The following is a 16,767-nucleotide window of genomic DNA, read 5'->3' as shown; positions in this document are numbered from 1 at the left end:
CAGGCAAAATACACCCTGACTTTATACCAATACTGGCATGTGATGGACATGAGGAGACTGAAGGCACTGGGCTAGAATTAGGATGGTACCATGCTTCCTTTCCCCTCCAGATGATCTCACTCCTCCCTCTCCTACCCACCTAAACACATGGCCACAGGGCAGAGCTTGCACTGTTTTCGCCAAACAGGCCAATCCTGTCTGACCTCCTGGCTCCTGCAATCCATTCCCTTCCCTCAACACCACCCAGCTCAGAATAAAACTCATATTATCCTTCCTCCCTCTGCCATTTCCTCCAGCAGCTACTAGACGGGAACCAAAACCAATCAAGAGATCCCCCAAACCCTTCCCTTCAGGATCTCATGCTGGTAACAGGTCCAAGTGCCTTGATGCCCATGAACTGACAGATGTGCAAGCGCTGCCCTGTGTAGCCAGGAAAGAGCTGAGTAAACACAGAGGACTGACTGGTGCCCAGAAGAGGGGTCCTCGCCAGGCCTTCAGATTAACTGCTGCATCCAAGCACTGTGGAGGGAGATTTACATTAATATGAAACCCTGGGGGTCAGCATGTAGGGTGGCAAGGCATGGATAACTCCAGTTCTCCTGATCAGGGGCTTTAGCGGGAGAGAAGAGGCCAAAACCTGAGCAAGGCACATGAGAAAGGACATCTGCTTAAAAACACTAGACACAGTCTACCAATTAGATATAATGTTAGGGTAACAAGGCCCTTTTTTAAAACTCATCCTCTCCCTGACGCCCAGTGGAGTCTGTCCACTCACATTTCAGTATGAACCTCTGAAATAAAACTGCTTTCTTCCTAATCCCCCATGGCTATCATCTCCTCTGATGAGATGGGCATTTTGAATTATAGAAAGGATTGTTTTGGAACTTGTGTGGGGTGGATCAGGTGGACAGACTTGGAAACAGGGAAGAAGAGATATGAAAAAGAAAGGTAGAAAGATGGCACCACACTTCATTAGTGCTGCTGTGGACTTTAGAGCAGCAACCATCCACAAGCCACTAAAAAGCATCTACTGGTTGCAGGTGGGATGCCTGCTATCTCCTTATTTCTCACATTTAATGTCTGTTCACTTACCCCAATGTTGTGTGCCTCTGTTGTTGACAGTGTGGGCCCTCCTTGGGACAGCACAGAGAACACAATTTTCTATCTCATCCCCTATCGAGGATTCAAGGGCATCTGCAGGTCGTTTATCAACAGCCTAGAAATGACAGAGCATTCCTAGAGTTTCACTTAGTTGGCCAAGGGAGAAGTAAGACATCTACCCCTGATAATAATAAGCAAATAATTCCAGGTTACAGTTGAGACACTTTTCTGTGAAGGAGGAAGCAACTCTGCGAACTTATGGTAGGATCTCTCAAAGTGAGGTCAAAGGCTCACAGGCATTAGAATCATCTGGGAGTTTCTTATAAATGCAGATTCCCATCCTCATCCTAGACCTGCTCAGAATTGCTATGAAGAGAGCTAGACATCTACATTATAACAAGCTTCCAAGGGATTCTTTCACAAATAAAGTTTGATAATCACTGCTCTCCACATCCATCCTCTTCCTGTCTACTTGAACCCTGGGTAAGTGAATAGATATTAAATAGGAGAAATGGGGAGATAGCACATAGCCTTTGCACTTATTGTTTCTTATGCCTAGAATTGCTTTCCTTCCTCCATCACCCAATGAATTCCTACGCATTCAAATACATTTATTGAGCACCTACTAGAGCCAGTCCCTGTTCTAGGCACTAAGAGAACAAAAACCAAGGGTCCTTGCTTTCATGGAGCTAACATGAGCCAGCTCAAATGCCACCTCTTCTAGGAAGCTTTCCTTAATTGCATTAGGAAAAAAAAAGACCCCTGTCCCCTATGCTTTGTTCAAATCTGTTACTATACATGTAATGTTGTAATTTAGTTGATCTATTTCCTTGTCCATCTCATCAAAACTGTGAACAAAATGAAGGCAAAGGCTACTTCTTCTTTTTTTTTTGTTTTTGGTTTTGTTTTTGAAAGTACATCAACAATGACTGCTTCTTATTTCTCTTTGAATCTCCAATACCTGGCACCAATGTTTGGCACACAATAGGCATTCGATAAATATCTGTTGAGTGAACGCAAGAAAGAATAAACTCCCACGAACATCTAAAACAACAGTCCTGCAAACAGAGAGTTAGCATACAACAAACCATGTGTCAACATTCCCTCTTGTTAGTCCCTGCAGATCTTAGAGACTGGAAAGCGGGGGGATATAGAAGGACTGGAGGGATATATTCCATATATCACTGGAAGGTAATAAAGGTGGCCTGGTTGAAATACTCCATTGACATAACTAACAGTCACCAAACAAGCCAGTGGAACTCTACAGCTACCTTAAAACCCTCTTCACAATAACTTGGGGCCCTCATCCTCTAATCTGAATCACACTATTTAACAGGTATTGAGATGGTGCCAGAACACTTAATGCCTTGCCCACAGATCACCCAGACTCATGCTCAATTAGGATGGGCACTGAAACCAACTTCCCACCTAATTACTTCAGCCACTAGATAATGTCTCTAAAAGTGGGGTCCAAGGCTGACCAGCATTAGAATCACCCAAGAGCGAGTATAAATGCAGATTCCAATCCTCACCCTAGACCTGCTCAGAATCACCATGTAGAGAACAAGGTATCCGCATTATAACAAGCTTCCAAGAGACTCTTTTACAAATAAAGTTTGACAATCACCGCTTTCCACATCCAGAGTCTCTTCGCATTCACTCAGCCAGTTCCTGGCAGGAGAGGAGCACGTGAGACAAGACATTCTCAATTTAACAAAATATATGAAAGACCAGGAGAAGCAGAGAAACCTAGCTCTTCATTTCAATGAGGCATAACAATGAGGTATCCACTGAAAAAGAGAAGAGGGGAGAAAAAGGAAAAGTAAGTCTCTGGCTTAATAACATTTTTTATTTATATGATATTAAGAAGCAAGAAAGTTGGCATGTCCAAGAGATTAAGATCAAGATCCAACAGTGTGATTTCCTGATTGGGAGAAAAGCAAACAGACACTTTGGGCCAAGAGTAGAGATTCTAATAACCATTCTTTGTGATGGAAATTCTACAAAAAGATGTGTGAGCAGGAGCTGAGATTGCCTCACTCCTGTGGCTATTTCAAAAAACAGGCAGAAAGATTTTTTTTTTTTTTTTGAGACAGAGTCTTGCTCTGTCACCCAGGCTGGAGTGCAGTGGCGGGATCTCGGCTCACTGCAACCTCTGCCTCCTCGGTTCAAGCGATTCTCCTGCCTCAGCCTCCCGAGTAGCTGGGACTACAGGCGCGTGCCACCACACCTGGCTAATTTTTTGTATTTTTAGTAGAGAGAGGGTTTCACCGTGTTAGCCAAGATGGTCTCAATCTCCTGACCTCGTGATCTGCCTGCCTCAGCCTCCCAAAGTCTGGGATTACAGGCGTGTGCCACCATGCCTGGCTGGAAGATTCTCTTAATAGGAACATAGGGCCACCAGTGGAGAAAGAAAAAAGGAAAGCAAAAAGTCAGTTCCATCAATCATTCAGTCACCATTATCCAGGTACACATTAAACAATTAATGTGCATATACAGTATTATATTCAGCTCTGCAAGGAGTTACAAAGGAAAAATCCACTACTCCTTTACTTTAAAAAAGTGTTCCCACTAATGGTGGAGAAACATTAAAGAAACATGCAAAAACAAAAAACAAAAAACAAACAAACAAAAAAAAATGATCTGGCCAAACACCAGATTACCTACATGCATACAAAGGTATTCATTAAAGAGCCCAACATTCTGACATGTATTCAGACGGCTGGGAAAGGACAAAAAGTGTTACTGGAGTCAGGTCAGGCTCCTATGGAAAGGTTTCGTAGAGGAGAATCTTCAGGGGAGTATTTACAGAGGGGGAGGAAACTAAAAACAAGTCTCACAAAGACTGAGAAGAAGGTGGCCCATCTGTGGCAAAGGAATAAAAATTCTGTGAGCTTGTGGATCATCCACTGAGTAGGGGCCAGCAACATACTGTTATTTAAAAGCAAGCTGAGTTGTATTAACAGGTGCAAGGCATGAAAAGACTGGGAAAAAAATACTTCCTCTCTGCTTGGTGTAGGCTGGACCTCTGGTAAGAGTTAGTGTCCAGTTTTATATGCCATGCATCAGAAAGGTATCCAGACACAGGCAAGGATCCAGAGAAAAGTAACAAAAATGATTAGAGGAATGCCTTCTAGAAGCTATCAAGAAAGGTATAAGGAGTTGAGCTTTGTCGGTTTCTGAGTCTGAAGTTGAAACTGTATTGGTCATCTGCCATCTTTGACCAGCTTTGCCCAGCTTCTCTGTTTAAGTGACCACATAATTATTCAGAGAATTCAAATGCTTCATTTCCATGTGGCCCGTTTCACAGAGAAGACTGAGATAGGAAAAGGTTAAATAGTTTGCTGAGGTTCCTGTAGCAAGCCATGAGCAAAACTAGCATCATAATTTTAAATCCTGGGGCTGCCTGTGGGTTGTTTAATTCACCAATCCACAGCACCTCTCTTTATATGGACACCCCCAATGACTGTAACAATGAAAGATGGAAAAATTCTCTGCAAATTTCCTTGGGGGGAGAAACAAACTAAAAAGGAATGTCATGCCTCACTAGTGAGGCCCATATAAACATCATCCCCTTGTATCCCCCTGGACTGATGACACAGGACGCAGTCCATCTGATAAGCTGTCAGCAGATGGCTGGATCCCTTATTGTACCCATTACCCACCAACTTCAATTCCAAGCAGGAATGATAATCAGTGCTCCAGACAACAGATGGAGAATGAGGAGGTGTGTCTGGTGTGAAGTCAAGGGGGAAAACAGAAAGCCAAGTTTCTCAAATCCATCAGGTCTTCTCTAAAACAAATTCATCACATAACAACCGGAATGCAACAGTGTGTATTCAGTGAGTTGCAAGGGGTTTCACAAAAAGCTCAGGACTTTCTGAGTGTGTGTCATTCTACACTTTTAGCAAGGAGAGAGGAAGTAAGAAAATCAAACAGTGAACCAAAAGCGGGTAAGCCATATTTGGTTGAAGTTAGATTTCTAATATATTGTAAAGAAGACAAAAAATCAAATAGCTACAGCAACTCTAAAAAAGGATGGGATTCAGTGTTACTCACTAAAAACCAACAGCTTGGGACTAAGGGGTCAACAGCACCAATTATTCTTTGCCAAATATCCAGCCTGGATACAGCCTGCCTTATGCGCATAGACATGGAGGGTTAAACTGCATATGCTTCACCCCACTAAGTTCTGTGCCTAATCAGGAGATGTTGGCACAGACACATACAGAACCAACAGGAATTGGACAATTAAACAAGACATCCCAAATGGGATCTTTTTCTTAAGTTTCTAAGACAAATATAACTGGACTCAAGGAGGGTAAAGGGCCACTAAATTAAGACCACCAGTCTTTACAACAATCAGTCAAACTATCTAGCATTTTAACCCTTCTGCTGAGAAACTGTAGATTTTTAAGACTTAAATAGCTATGAGAATCTCTTCCTGCTAAGCCAGATTCCCACTGTGGCAGCTCAGTTCTAAAGCCACCTGTGCCACTAACTTACTGGGTGATTTTTGGTAAACAGTACAGTCACTCCATAAATTCACTCCCTGTCACCCATACCTGCCAAAATCATAAGCAAAAAGGGACTGGCCATGCTTGAAGAAATACTTATTGGTATAATTGATAGACACCAGTGATATTTAGCAAGGGGTTTAGCAACCATGTGGTAACCTTGGTGCTTGCTGATCTTGAGAACACTCAAATATCTCTGGCTGGAGGCTTAGCTGTGAGACAGTGCTAGGTCAACCATACATGCCTGTATCAGTCTACAGTCCCAGGACACGTTTGAGAAATCAGACAAGGCCAAAATGAAATCTGACAGGACGAATATTAATCAATAACAGAACTTGGACACAAGTACTGCCCTTCCTTATGCTACTACAGTTGGCAGTCACTCAAAGGCAGCATGGCTATGATGAGAGCCTGTGTAACAAGGCCTTGGGAATGAATATGTTGCAGACTGAAAAATGAGAGATGCGGAGACTAACCAATTTCCCTCCAACTTATCTATTTCCTGGCCTAAAGCAATACCTCCCTTGTTACAAACTTACACTGACTCTCTGAGGAAGAAGGCCTTTTTATAAAGCCAAAACTGAGTCATCCTGTTGAGAGACACATATCAGACATGTCTCTGCTAAGCTATCCCTTTCACTTCAGCTAATATCTCTCTTTCCTTGCTAGGACTTCTAAATTCCACAGAATTTGCCACTACAACATAGCCTAATTCAGCTAGTTCACTTGCCAAACATTTCTTTGTACATAGTATCTCCTCTTTGGAATATACACTGTTGCAGGAAACATTTTAACATCCCTTTCTCCAGGCCTAAGCTAAAAGTAACAATGTATATGAAAGTATCTTATAAACAGTAATTGTTAGATAAATGCAAGGTATTATGGTATTCTGGGTATACATACTATCATTGGTCATTGCTGCAACCAAGACAGAAAATTATTTCCAACCATCTGCTGTTAATTTTTTTTTTTTTAGGACTCATCAACTTTTAAAAATCCATACATTCCTGCTTCCCAGGAAAAGCCATATGGAGGGTATAGAAAGTTGGATTAATCAGAGGCTAGGTCTCCTGGTATGCCAGGGGTTACTATTTAAATGATACAAAGCAGTGATTTAGGGGAAAAGGGCAAAGAAGCATAATTCTGATGGAGCTCAAGAACTCCTCGGCATGGCTCTGTTCCATGCCCCCATCCTAAGGCTTCAGAGTCCTAAAGTGCCATCATCCTCTGCATGAGTTCCCAAGCATGGCCCAGTTGAGTTTACTTTACTGGGAAGACACAGGGAGAAAACAATGAATGGGAACTGGCCACCTGACTTCCACAGAGAAGAAACTAGCTTCCTTTTTTTCCACACAGGAGGTCAAAAGCATTTCAGAATAGCTCTCTGTTGCATACCCATCTACGACTTATGGAGACAAGAATCACATAGACTGTCAAGAGCTAGGAGGGCAACTCTGCCTCATTTCACAAGGTAGGCAAACTGAGGCCCAGGAAGAGTACTTTCTCCAAAGTCATACAATGAATTAATGCTAGCACTAGGTCTCCAGAGTCTTCTGAGAGCCTCTAAAAATCTTGCTTCTAAAAACCATGGTGTTGCCAGTCTTGACGTCATCACATCAGCCGCAGCTCCAGTCAGGCTGAATTTAGTCCTTTGTCGACCTTCTAGATATGTGATTGCCAGAGGCCTCAAGACCACTTTGTAGAAGATGCACCCTTTGACCCTCACCACCTGCCATCCTAAAAAAGCACTCCTGTCCCGACAGCCTCACACAGCATCGGCTGAGATGCGTTGTTTCCTATCATTAACAAAAAGCCCATTCATAAAAAAAGAAAGAAAGAAGACTGGCTCAAATTTACACAGAAGGTCTAGCTGGGACAGCCCTGGACTTCCTGTGAATGGCATCACTTCCCAAGAAGCCCTCTCTTAAAAAATGCTGCCCACTCCAGCCCCGATGCTTACAGCCACCCAATCAAAAACAGCCACTTTATTCCAAAGTTATCCATACCTTCTTACCATATCTGCAAGAAGGGAAGGGGCTGGGGTCATTCACCACATCCAGAAGCCTGCAATCAAATGAGTTCCTAGGAACACAGTGCAAGCAAGTATCCAAGCCATGGGTAGACAGTGTGGTGCTCATCTGCCTGAGTCTTCCCACAGGACTGCCCCACCACCCACTGCCACCCTCACTTTGGGGTTGACAGCTTGCAACCTCAAGGTGGATGAGTTTGCTTTCTAACCCAGGCACTAATTCATCTTCTGGCTGCAAGCAAATGACCTGCCATTCCTAAACCCCTCCAGGCCTGTAAAATGGAGATAATAATCTCAACCTCCTGCCCCAAGCTAGGCTGTCACAAGTCTCCAAAGAATAACCTTCTACAAACATAAAGGCAGTAAAGATGCTAATGACAGGTTTCAAAACTGCCCCTGAATAAAACACACCCGGTTTTCCACAGCCTGAAATCTAAAAAAGACTGATTGCTCTCCCAGTCTCCTCTTCCTCCTCCTCCATGATTTTATAGCTTTAGAACATCTCTCCACACAGGCTGAATACAGACAGTCTCACTCTTGGTCCTCACCCAGATTATTTTTATGTATCTGGCAACTTGCCTTTTCAATCCCATTTGTTTTCCTTAGCACCGCTAATGGGTGGAAGTCGATGAGGTAAAGAAATCAGCTTCCTAAGCACCCTTGGACTATGACCATAGGAGACAGAATGACAGTAATAGGATGGAGAGGTTTGCAAAAAAAGAAATACCCTCTCACCATAGTGATCACCAGCCCAAAGTACACATGTCAGCCTGGGGACCTGCTTCAGAACTCATTTAGTAGGAGCTTGGTGCTGCTCCAATGCCTCAAAATGCAAAGGCAGACCTCACTCTAAGAGCATACACTCCCAAATGAAAGAGTCATTAAGAGAAACCTGTAAAAGTATTTCCCCAAAGTACCACAGTGTAGATGAGAAAGTTTATGCGACCACCTCCAGGAAAGAGTGTCACCAGGCCCCTGGGAAATTAACTACCACAGAAGGCAAGGGAGCTGGGTCATGGTCCACTGATGTGATTCAGAAAGGGCACCTGGCTGGGGCTGGAATTCCTGCTTGTGAAAGCCCAGGGCACGGCAGGGTTGGGCTGGGCTGGAAGGGAGGGGCAGCCAGGGTGAGTGCCAGTCGTTCCTAGGGTTCAGGCACAAGGTTCCTCACCTCCACTGTGGGGCTGACGCACTGTGCAAAGGTGAAAGAAAGCCAAACCTGAAATCGGCACAAAGGCAGCCACTCGTTGGAAAATCATTTTTAAAGGTCCCCCTGCCCGCCGGGATGAGGTGCTGTACACTATGGAGTGTCCTGAGCACATAAATGACTCTTATCACTTAGGATGCCCAGGAAAAAGTCAACAGACTCACATGCATCATGGTGACCAGGTGACAGGGGTTGAGCAGGTAGATGACGGTCTTGGTGGCGAACTTAAAGCCCACCTCCACCCCGAAGGTCAGGCACAGGGCTACTAAGAGCAGATTCTTGCTCAGGCTCTCCTTGCCTTCCTCTGGCCGCTGGGTCACCTGCTCTGGCTGGCTGCCAGGGCTACCCCTACCGTCCTCCTTCGTCTGCCTCAGGATGTGCCGCAGGGCCACCAGGATCTCCAACAGAGCCAGGGTCAGGACCACCACACTTTCCAGCAGCCGCTGCTGCCAAGAGAGGAAGGCAGCACAGTCGGGGCCCCCATTGCCTGCAAAACTGGGGTCCACGCCCCCATAGAGCCAGTCCAGGAGACTCTGGTAGCTATACCGGGACATGATGCAGTGGTTCCCCTTGACCACAGTACAGGAAGCAAGAGTGAGATGGAACACAAGCCCAGAGGGTTGCCCGGGTGGTGGACCATGTAAGGCGGGCACACCCCCACAACCCCCCTCCAGACACCAGGGCACCGAGAGTAGGGGAGGGGAAGCTACACGCAAGGCCCGGGGTAAAGTGCTGGCTCTAACTTGTCCCCACGGCTGTCTGGGGGAGCCCCCCGCGCTTCTCCAGTGGCCACCAACGAGGCAGGGTTGAAAGGAGCCGTTGGCCAATCTAAAAGGAAGGAGAGGAAAAAAAAAAAAAAGAGGTCTCAAAGAGGCAATTGCACCGGGAATTAGGAAGCGGGAGGGGTAACTAGCGAGGGAAGAAAACGGGAACGGGGCAGTGGCGAAGCAAGCAGGGGTCAGGGGAAGCCGGAGGCCGAAAGGGTCAGGGCGGGGGCCAAGGAGACCCGGCAGTGCTGCGGCAGCGAACCGGGAGCCAAAAGGGGTCAGAGCTAGGGGACACGCGGAGGCAAGGAGAGGAGCTAGCGGGGCCGAGCAGGCGGGGAGGGCGACGGGGATGGCAGGGACGCCGGACTCCTCGTCTCACGCACTCGCCACAGAGGGATCTCTTACTCCTGCAACCGCGTGGCCGTCTCTGCCCCCAGCTAGCAACTTCGCCGCCGACGGGCCCCTCCAGCCAATTTAGAGCCGTCCTTGTCCAGCCTCCCGCCCCCGGGTACACCCCCGAACCCCCAGCTCCACCCTCCGGCCCTAGACGCCCGCCCTCCGGGCAGCACCACCCCCAGCCCGCGGCCCGCCCGGGACCTGCCCCCCTCGCGCAGGCAGCGGAGGGAGGAAGCCAGAGGGAAGGCGGGAGGCCGGGCCAGCCGGGGGCTGGACTAAAGCCGGCCCCTGGACTAAAGCCGGCCCCCCTCCCTCCTCCCCGGCGCCGCAACCTCCCGCGCCTCCCGCCCAGCCCCGGGGACCGGCCGCCGCGCCCCTCGGGGCTTCACTCACCGGCAGCTCGGCCCGCGGCCCCGGATCGGGCTACTGCTCCGCTCCCGCGCTCTCCGCGCCGGGCGCTCGGTTCCCCTGGCGGCCGCCGCCGCGGCGCACGGCTCCTCCTCCCCGTCTTCCTCCCCCTGCAGCAGCCGCGCTCGCTTCCTCCTTCTTCCCCTCCCTCTCTCCTCCCCCTCCCCGCTGCCACCGCCACTGCCTCCCTCCTCCCGTCCAGTTCAGCTCTCGCCCCACCACACGCCCTCGGGCCACGACTACTCCTCCTCGCCTCCTTCCCTTTTCTGCCTCTGGCACTCCCCTCACCCGTCCACCATTCACACCTCCCACCCTCCGCGGCTTCGGCTCTCCCTCCTCCTCCTCCCTCCTCCTCCCTCCTCCGGCTCAGGCTCCGCCTCCTTCCGCCTCCTCCCTGGCCTGCCTCGTCTTCTGCACTCGGAGCCTGCACGCGTGCACAGCCACCCTCCTTCACAACCGTGTACAGAATTCGCCCCCTCGGTGAAGCCCTGTTGACTGGCTCCGCCTCCCGCGACCTGGTTCTCCAGGGCACTTCTTTCTATACTGCACACATAGTAGGCACTTAGCTGGCCCGCACTAACTTCTTGTGGGGGAATAAGCCTTTCTAGTAATGAGCAGCTTGGCTTCGGGGTGTGTGCTGGGTATGGCCGGCTCCTCTTCGCGATTCCTCCTTTCTGCCACGACTCATGCAAGGCCAGAAAGGCATCTTCTCTCCCCTTTCTAGCCACAGCCCCACTCCACACTTCAGTGCCTAGGACAGGAGCTTCATTTCCCTGCTCCTCCCCCTCCTGCTCTGATCCACTATTTTCTCTCTACCTCTTGCCACACAGACCACCCCTGCCACACCCTCTCCCTCTCCCACTTCTCTCCTTTCTCCTGACAGGCCTTCAATGGTAGGCCAGTGGGAGGAAGGGAGGCTTCCCGTGACCTCTTTCCCTCCCCCTCTTCCCCCCTTCCCCCTCCCCAGAGCAGTTGCTTCCTAACCTATGCGTGGAAAAGCCAGCCAGGACTATATGAGTGTGGAGGAGCAGCACTAAGCCCAAAACCTGGATAAGGGCAACTGACGGAAATAAAATCCCCTCTTCCTACCTGCTGCTTTTTACCGATCGGCTATTTGCTTTTCTTGAGACAAGGGTCAGTAAAAGGACCTTCTCAGGACCTTCCTCATGTTTATTTAATATTTATTGAAGACTCACGATGAGTTAGAAGAATATCCAGAAAAACACAGTTAGGCACCTTGCCTAGGAAACACTTTTGGATGTTGGCTGCAAGCCAGGCTCAAAACATAAAATGCAATCTACTGTATTATCAGGCCATCGCCCTCCCGTTTTTTCCAAGTCTGGTTTTCCGAACAAGTACAGCCAGGTAGCCTTGTCTGACTCCAAGTTTTGTACAACATCTACCATAGGCCTGATGTTCTCCAAGTGTCAGAGGCGTTAGAACCAGAGCGACTCCATCTTGAACAGGGCCTGGATAAAATGACGCTGAGACCTACTGAGCTGCATTCCCAAAAAGTTAGGCATTCCAAGTCACGGGATGAGATAGGAGGTCGGCACAAGATTATAGGTCACAAAGACCTTGCTGATAAAACAGGATGCAGTAAAGAAGCCGGCCAAACCCCACTAAAACCAAAAAGGTGATGACAGTTACCTCTGGTCGTCCCCACTGCTCATTATATGCAAATTATAACGCATTAGCATGCTAAAAGTCACTCCCACCAGCGTCCAGAAGTTACCCTATATGGTCTGAAAGGGGGAGGAACCCTCAGTTCTGAGAATTGCCCACCCCTTTCCCAGAAAACTCATGAATAATCCACCCCTTGTTTAGCATATAATCAAGAAATAACCATAAGAATTATCAGTTGAGCAGCCCAAGCTGCTACTCTGCCTATGGAGTAGCCATTCTTTATTCCTTTACTTTCTTAATAGACTTGCTTTGACTTTACTCCAAATTCTTTCTTGCCCCGAATTCTTGCTAGAGGTCCAAGAACCCTCTCTTGGGGTCTGCATCCAGACCACTTTCCAGTAATACAAGTGCCAATTAATAAACAACAACAAACAAGGCTTGATTCAGAGGCTCACTAGTTCATTCTCCTTAAGTGTTTTGTTAAATCCTCAGCAACATAACCAAGGAACATTAAGGACAAAGCTGGGGAGCACCTAGCAATGGAATACAGCATCCCAAAACCTCAAGTTGCTATCTTCAAGGAAGCAAGAATTAGGATATAGCACTTAGCCAATGGCTTCAGTAATCCCTCCAATTTCCATGCTGAGCTTCTGTTGAGAATTTGGCCTAGACTGTCCCGAGTTTGCAACAATGACTATGGTTAATAATGACTGTAGCCAGGCCAGTTTTCTAAATTGAGCCATAAATTCCTTTTTCACAGGCATGTTGAAGAAAAAAGCCAAACTCTGTAAAATATTTGAGATTTATTCTGCACCAAATGTGAGGACCATGACATGTGACACAGCCTCAGAAGGTCCTGAGATCCTGTGCCCGAGGTGGTCGGATTACAGCTTGGTTTTATACATTTTAGAGAGACAGGAGTTACAGGCAAAGATATAAATCAATACATGTAAGGTATACATTGGTCTCAGCCTGGAAAGGCGGGACATCTCAGGTGGTTGGGGGAAGCTCACAGTCATAGGTGGATTCAAAGACTTCTGACTAGCAACTGGTCGAAAAAGTTAAGCTTTATTTAAAGTAAAGAGTTGAAGTCAGCAGAAAGAAATGCTTAAGATAACGGGTATTGTGGAAGCCAAGATTCTTGCTATGTAGATGAAGCCTACAGGTAGCAACCTTCAGAGAGAATAGATGTAAAATCTCTTATTGGACCTTAAAACGTGTCCGACTCTTAGTTAAATCTCTCCTGGATCATGAAAGGACCTGGAAAGGGAAGGAGATTCTCTATAGAATGTAGATTTTCTCCACAAGAGATAGCTTTGCAAGGCCATTTCAACATATGTCAAAGAAATGTATTTTGGGGTAAAATACTTTGATTTCCTTCAGGGCCTGCTTTCTGTCATGTGGTGCTATACCAGGGTCAGGTTAGAATTTGGTATTTTATTGTCACGAAGAGTCTGTTTTGTCAGTCTTATGATCTCTATTTTAATGTGAATGCTGATCAATTGTGCATAAACTCCAAAGAGAGGGGGTATAATGAAGAATGTCCTTGAGGTTTTTTGAACATGGGAAATTTTGTGATGGTTTCTGTCAAGGTTTCTAATGATTTTTTATTGTGGTAAAATATAAAATTTGTTGTTTTAACTATTTTTTTCTTTTCTTTTTTTTGAAATGGAGTCTCGCTCTATTGCTCAGGCTGAAGTGCAGTGGTGCCATCTTGGCTCACTGCAACCTCTGCCTCCTGGGTACAAGCAATTCTCCTGTCTCAGCCTCCCAAGTAGCTGGGATTACAGGCATGCACCATGTCCAGCTAGTTTTTGAATTTTCAGTAGAAACAGTGTTTCACCATGTTGGCCAGGCTGATCTCCAACTCCTGGCCTGAAGTGATCCACCCACCTCGTCCTCCCAAAGTGCTGGGATTACAAGCGTGAACCACTGCGCCTAGTTGTTTTAACGATTTTTAATTGTACAATTTAATGACTTTAATCACATTCACAATGTGCAACCATCACTACTCTATTTCTGAAAGTTTTCATCACCCCAAATAGAATTCCTATACCCATTAAGCAAAAAAAAAAAAAAAAAAAAAAGTCCAACCTCCATGAGACAGAGTCTCACTCTATCCCCTAGACAGGAGTGCAGTGGTGCAATCTCGGCTTACTGCAACCTCCGCCTCCGAGGTTCAAGTGATTCTCCTGCCTCAGCCTCCCGAGTAGGTGGGACTACTGGCATGTGCCACCATGCCTTGCTAATTTTTGTATTTTTAGTAGAGACTGGGTTCCACCATTTTGGCCAGGCTGGTCTTGAACTCCTGACCTCAGGTAATCTGCCCTCCTCAGCCTCCCAAACTGCTGGGATTATAGGCATGAGCCACCGCATCTGGCCAGCCTGAGCTAGTTTTTCAAGTTTTCTTTCCAGGTCCTCTTAGCCAAGGTAGGGGGTGTGTGTTGGGGGGTGTGTCTGTTCAGTCATTTAGGGGGCTTAAAATTTTATTCTGGGTTTACAAGTAGAATAACAAAGTGTTTTTAGGATATGGATTCGAATCTAACCCCATTTATATTATTTACTTGCTGTGTCACCTTGGACAATTTACTCTCAACCTCCCTGTGCCTCAATTGCCTCATCTATTAATTGAAAGATACTATTATCAAATTGATGAGGTTATGCACAGTCAAATGAGCTGAATGTTGGGGACCATAAGGTGGTGTCTGGTGCATAGAGAGTGTTCACTAAGTGCTCCCTATTATTACCCATCCCTGCATTTGCATGTGTACACACACCCAAGCACGTGCACGCACACACAACCTCAAATTCAGCGCCCTCCCCCACATTTGCATAAACAATCCTACCATCCTTCAAAGCCCACGTAAAATTTCACTCCCCCCAATCCCCCTCCCTCAGCTCCTGGAGCTCTCTTCCTCCTCTGAACTTGTACAGCATTTATTGCCTGCACTACTCATTTTATTCTGAATCACATACTGCCTTCCATTGTTCTCTCATTGTGACTCTTGTCTCCCACACCAGGCTCTTTGAGAGCTGGGAATGGATCTTAATCTTTTCTAAACCCCACCCACAGCACCTAGCAGAGTGGCAAACTCCTAGTAGGCACTAAATAAGCACTAGGAGATTGTTGTCCCCATAAGTAAAAGGCAGGTAATAATTGAGGTGAAATGGTATGTTGAATTTAGAACTGCAAAAGCTGCAGGCAAAAGTCCTGATCATATCTTTGCTGGGATACAGGCCAGAGCTTTCTTGTCGCCAACCAGTAACAAGAGCAAATCAACTTTGCTTTTTAAGTAGATCCTTGAAGCACAACAGTGAAAACGGAACCCAGAATCCAGGCTTGGTTCAGTGAAACCTTGGGGAAAATAATCTCTCTGTGCTTCTGTGTACTCAGAAGCAAAATGAGAGGGTTGGACTAGAATGGTCTCTAAAATACCTGCTGGCATTAATCTTCTATGATTCTACGAACTCAACCTTCCCACCTTTTTATCCCAGTCTGGTTTGAATCTTAAAGCAGAAAGATAATCTACCTACCTGACTTGGAGATCTGGGGAGTCTGGGGAGACAATGCTCTAAATTCTTTTGGCCAAAGTGCCTCCCAGCTATGAACACAGCTGACCTACTGTGGAGTGCAAAGTGTCAGAAATTATTACCTCTGTTGTACCACAGACAAACTGAGGTTCAGACAAGTGAAGTGACTTGCCTAAGGTCACACAAGTTAGTGGCAGAGTGAGGACTAGAACTTGAGGTTCTAACTCCCGGTCCAGTGATCTTTCAACAGTAGGAGCCAGAGCAAGCTCGTTCCTTTGACTTCATCATCTTACCTTTTCTCCTCCTGCACTTTATTCTTTGAATCAACTCCTACCACTCTGTCCACAATGGAACCTGAGAGTCGAATGCATACATGATCTTTCACAAGCAAAAAACAATGCACACTCCCAACATTATATGAAGTGTTAGCAGTAAAAATAAACTGCATATGTACGGAGGATGGAGAAGTCTTTGTCTTAATTTGACTGTCTGCTTACTGCTTCTGCCACCATGCAAAACATTCGACACCAGCATTCATTCCGTAAGTACTTTCTGAGTCTCTATTATGTTCATAGGAATGCTCTATTGCCTGTGAGCAATGTCTGCTCTCAAGGAGCTTAAAATTCAGCTAGGGAGATACTCACAAACAAGGGAGGTTAGAAAACAATAAATAAGGGAAGTATAAACACAAGCCAAGAAAATATGAGCTGCTACCACAAAAACAAGTCTTGTATGTGTCAAGTGAGTTTTACCAACAAGGAGAGTGAGAAGAATTCAGGCATAGTTCAACACCAAGTAAAGCCATCTATGGGGAGAAAGGTCAGCATGGCAGATACCCTAGAGACACTGACGGGAAGGGAAAAGAAGGAAGCCTCCTGGAATGCCAGCAATGCTCTGTGTCTTGATCTGGGTGACGTTACATGGATGTATACATATGTAAACCTACATAGCGTGCACACTTTAGAGTTGTACGTTTTACTGTATGTCAGTAATGCCTCAATTAAAAAAAAAAAGTTCAGAAAAGAGGGAAAACACCAGGAGCAGGAATTGCCAGGAACATGTTCATAGAGGAAGAGGCAACGTTTGATTGGGGATGTAATAAATCTAACCTACTGGATGTTAGCTCTGGCTCCAGCACTTTAGAGCAGGGGTCTCAAACCCCTGGACTACACACCCATACCAGTC

The 16,767-nt window shown here is 46.5% G+C and overlaps 1 protein-coding gene across 18 annotated transcripts in view, besides 2 other annotated features; it reads right to left on the bottom strand.

Moving 5' to 3' along the window:
* TMEM164 (transmembrane protein 164) overlaps positions 1–10,814 on the bottom strand; it is a 181,883-nt gene extending 171,069 nt beyond the window's left edge. For 4 of the 18 annotated variants that reach the window (XM_047442571.1, XM_047442568.1, NM_017698.3 and 1 more), the window contains exon 1: positions 10,411–10,520. Coding sequence is in view for 12 of the 18 variants with exons in the window: in NM_001353849.2 (NP_001340778.1) it covers positions 9,019–9,408 (390 nt within the window). In the remaining 6 variants the exon portion in view is untranslated. Of the gene's footprint in view, positions 1–9,018; positions 9,683–10,004; positions 10,070–10,410; positions 10,521–10,730 lie in introns of those variants that run through there. The other 14 variants (XM_047442565.1, NM_001410717.1, NM_032227.4 and 11 more) reach the window with 10 other exon arrangements.
* Positions 9,207–9,862: an enhancer, noted in NCBI's record as "H3K4me1 hESC enhancer chrX:109246549-109247204 (GRCh37/hg19 assembly coordinates)". NCBI's record gives its function as "activates a minimal SCP1, AML or CMV promoter by ChIP-STARR-seq in primed H9 embryonic stem cells {active_cell/tissue: H9 hESC(primed)}" and the evidence as "EXISTENCE:reporter gene assay evidence [ECO:0000049][PMID:30033119]".
* Positions 9,965–10,824: a silencer, noted in NCBI's record as "silent region_20938". NCBI's record gives its function as "represses an Ori minimal core promoter by ATAC-STARR-seq in GM12878 lymphoblastoid cells {active_cell/tissue: GM12878}" and the evidence as "EXISTENCE:reporter gene assay evidence [ECO:0000049][PMID:35858748]".

Source organism: Homo sapiens, chromosome X, assembly GCF_000001405.40.
Source record: "Homo sapiens chromosome X, GRCh38.p14 Primary Assembly".
Lineage (NCBI taxonomy): Eukaryota > Metazoa > Chordata > Mammalia > Primates > Hominidae > Homo > Homo sapiens.
This window is presented reverse-complemented; position numbering and strand designations above follow the sequence as displayed.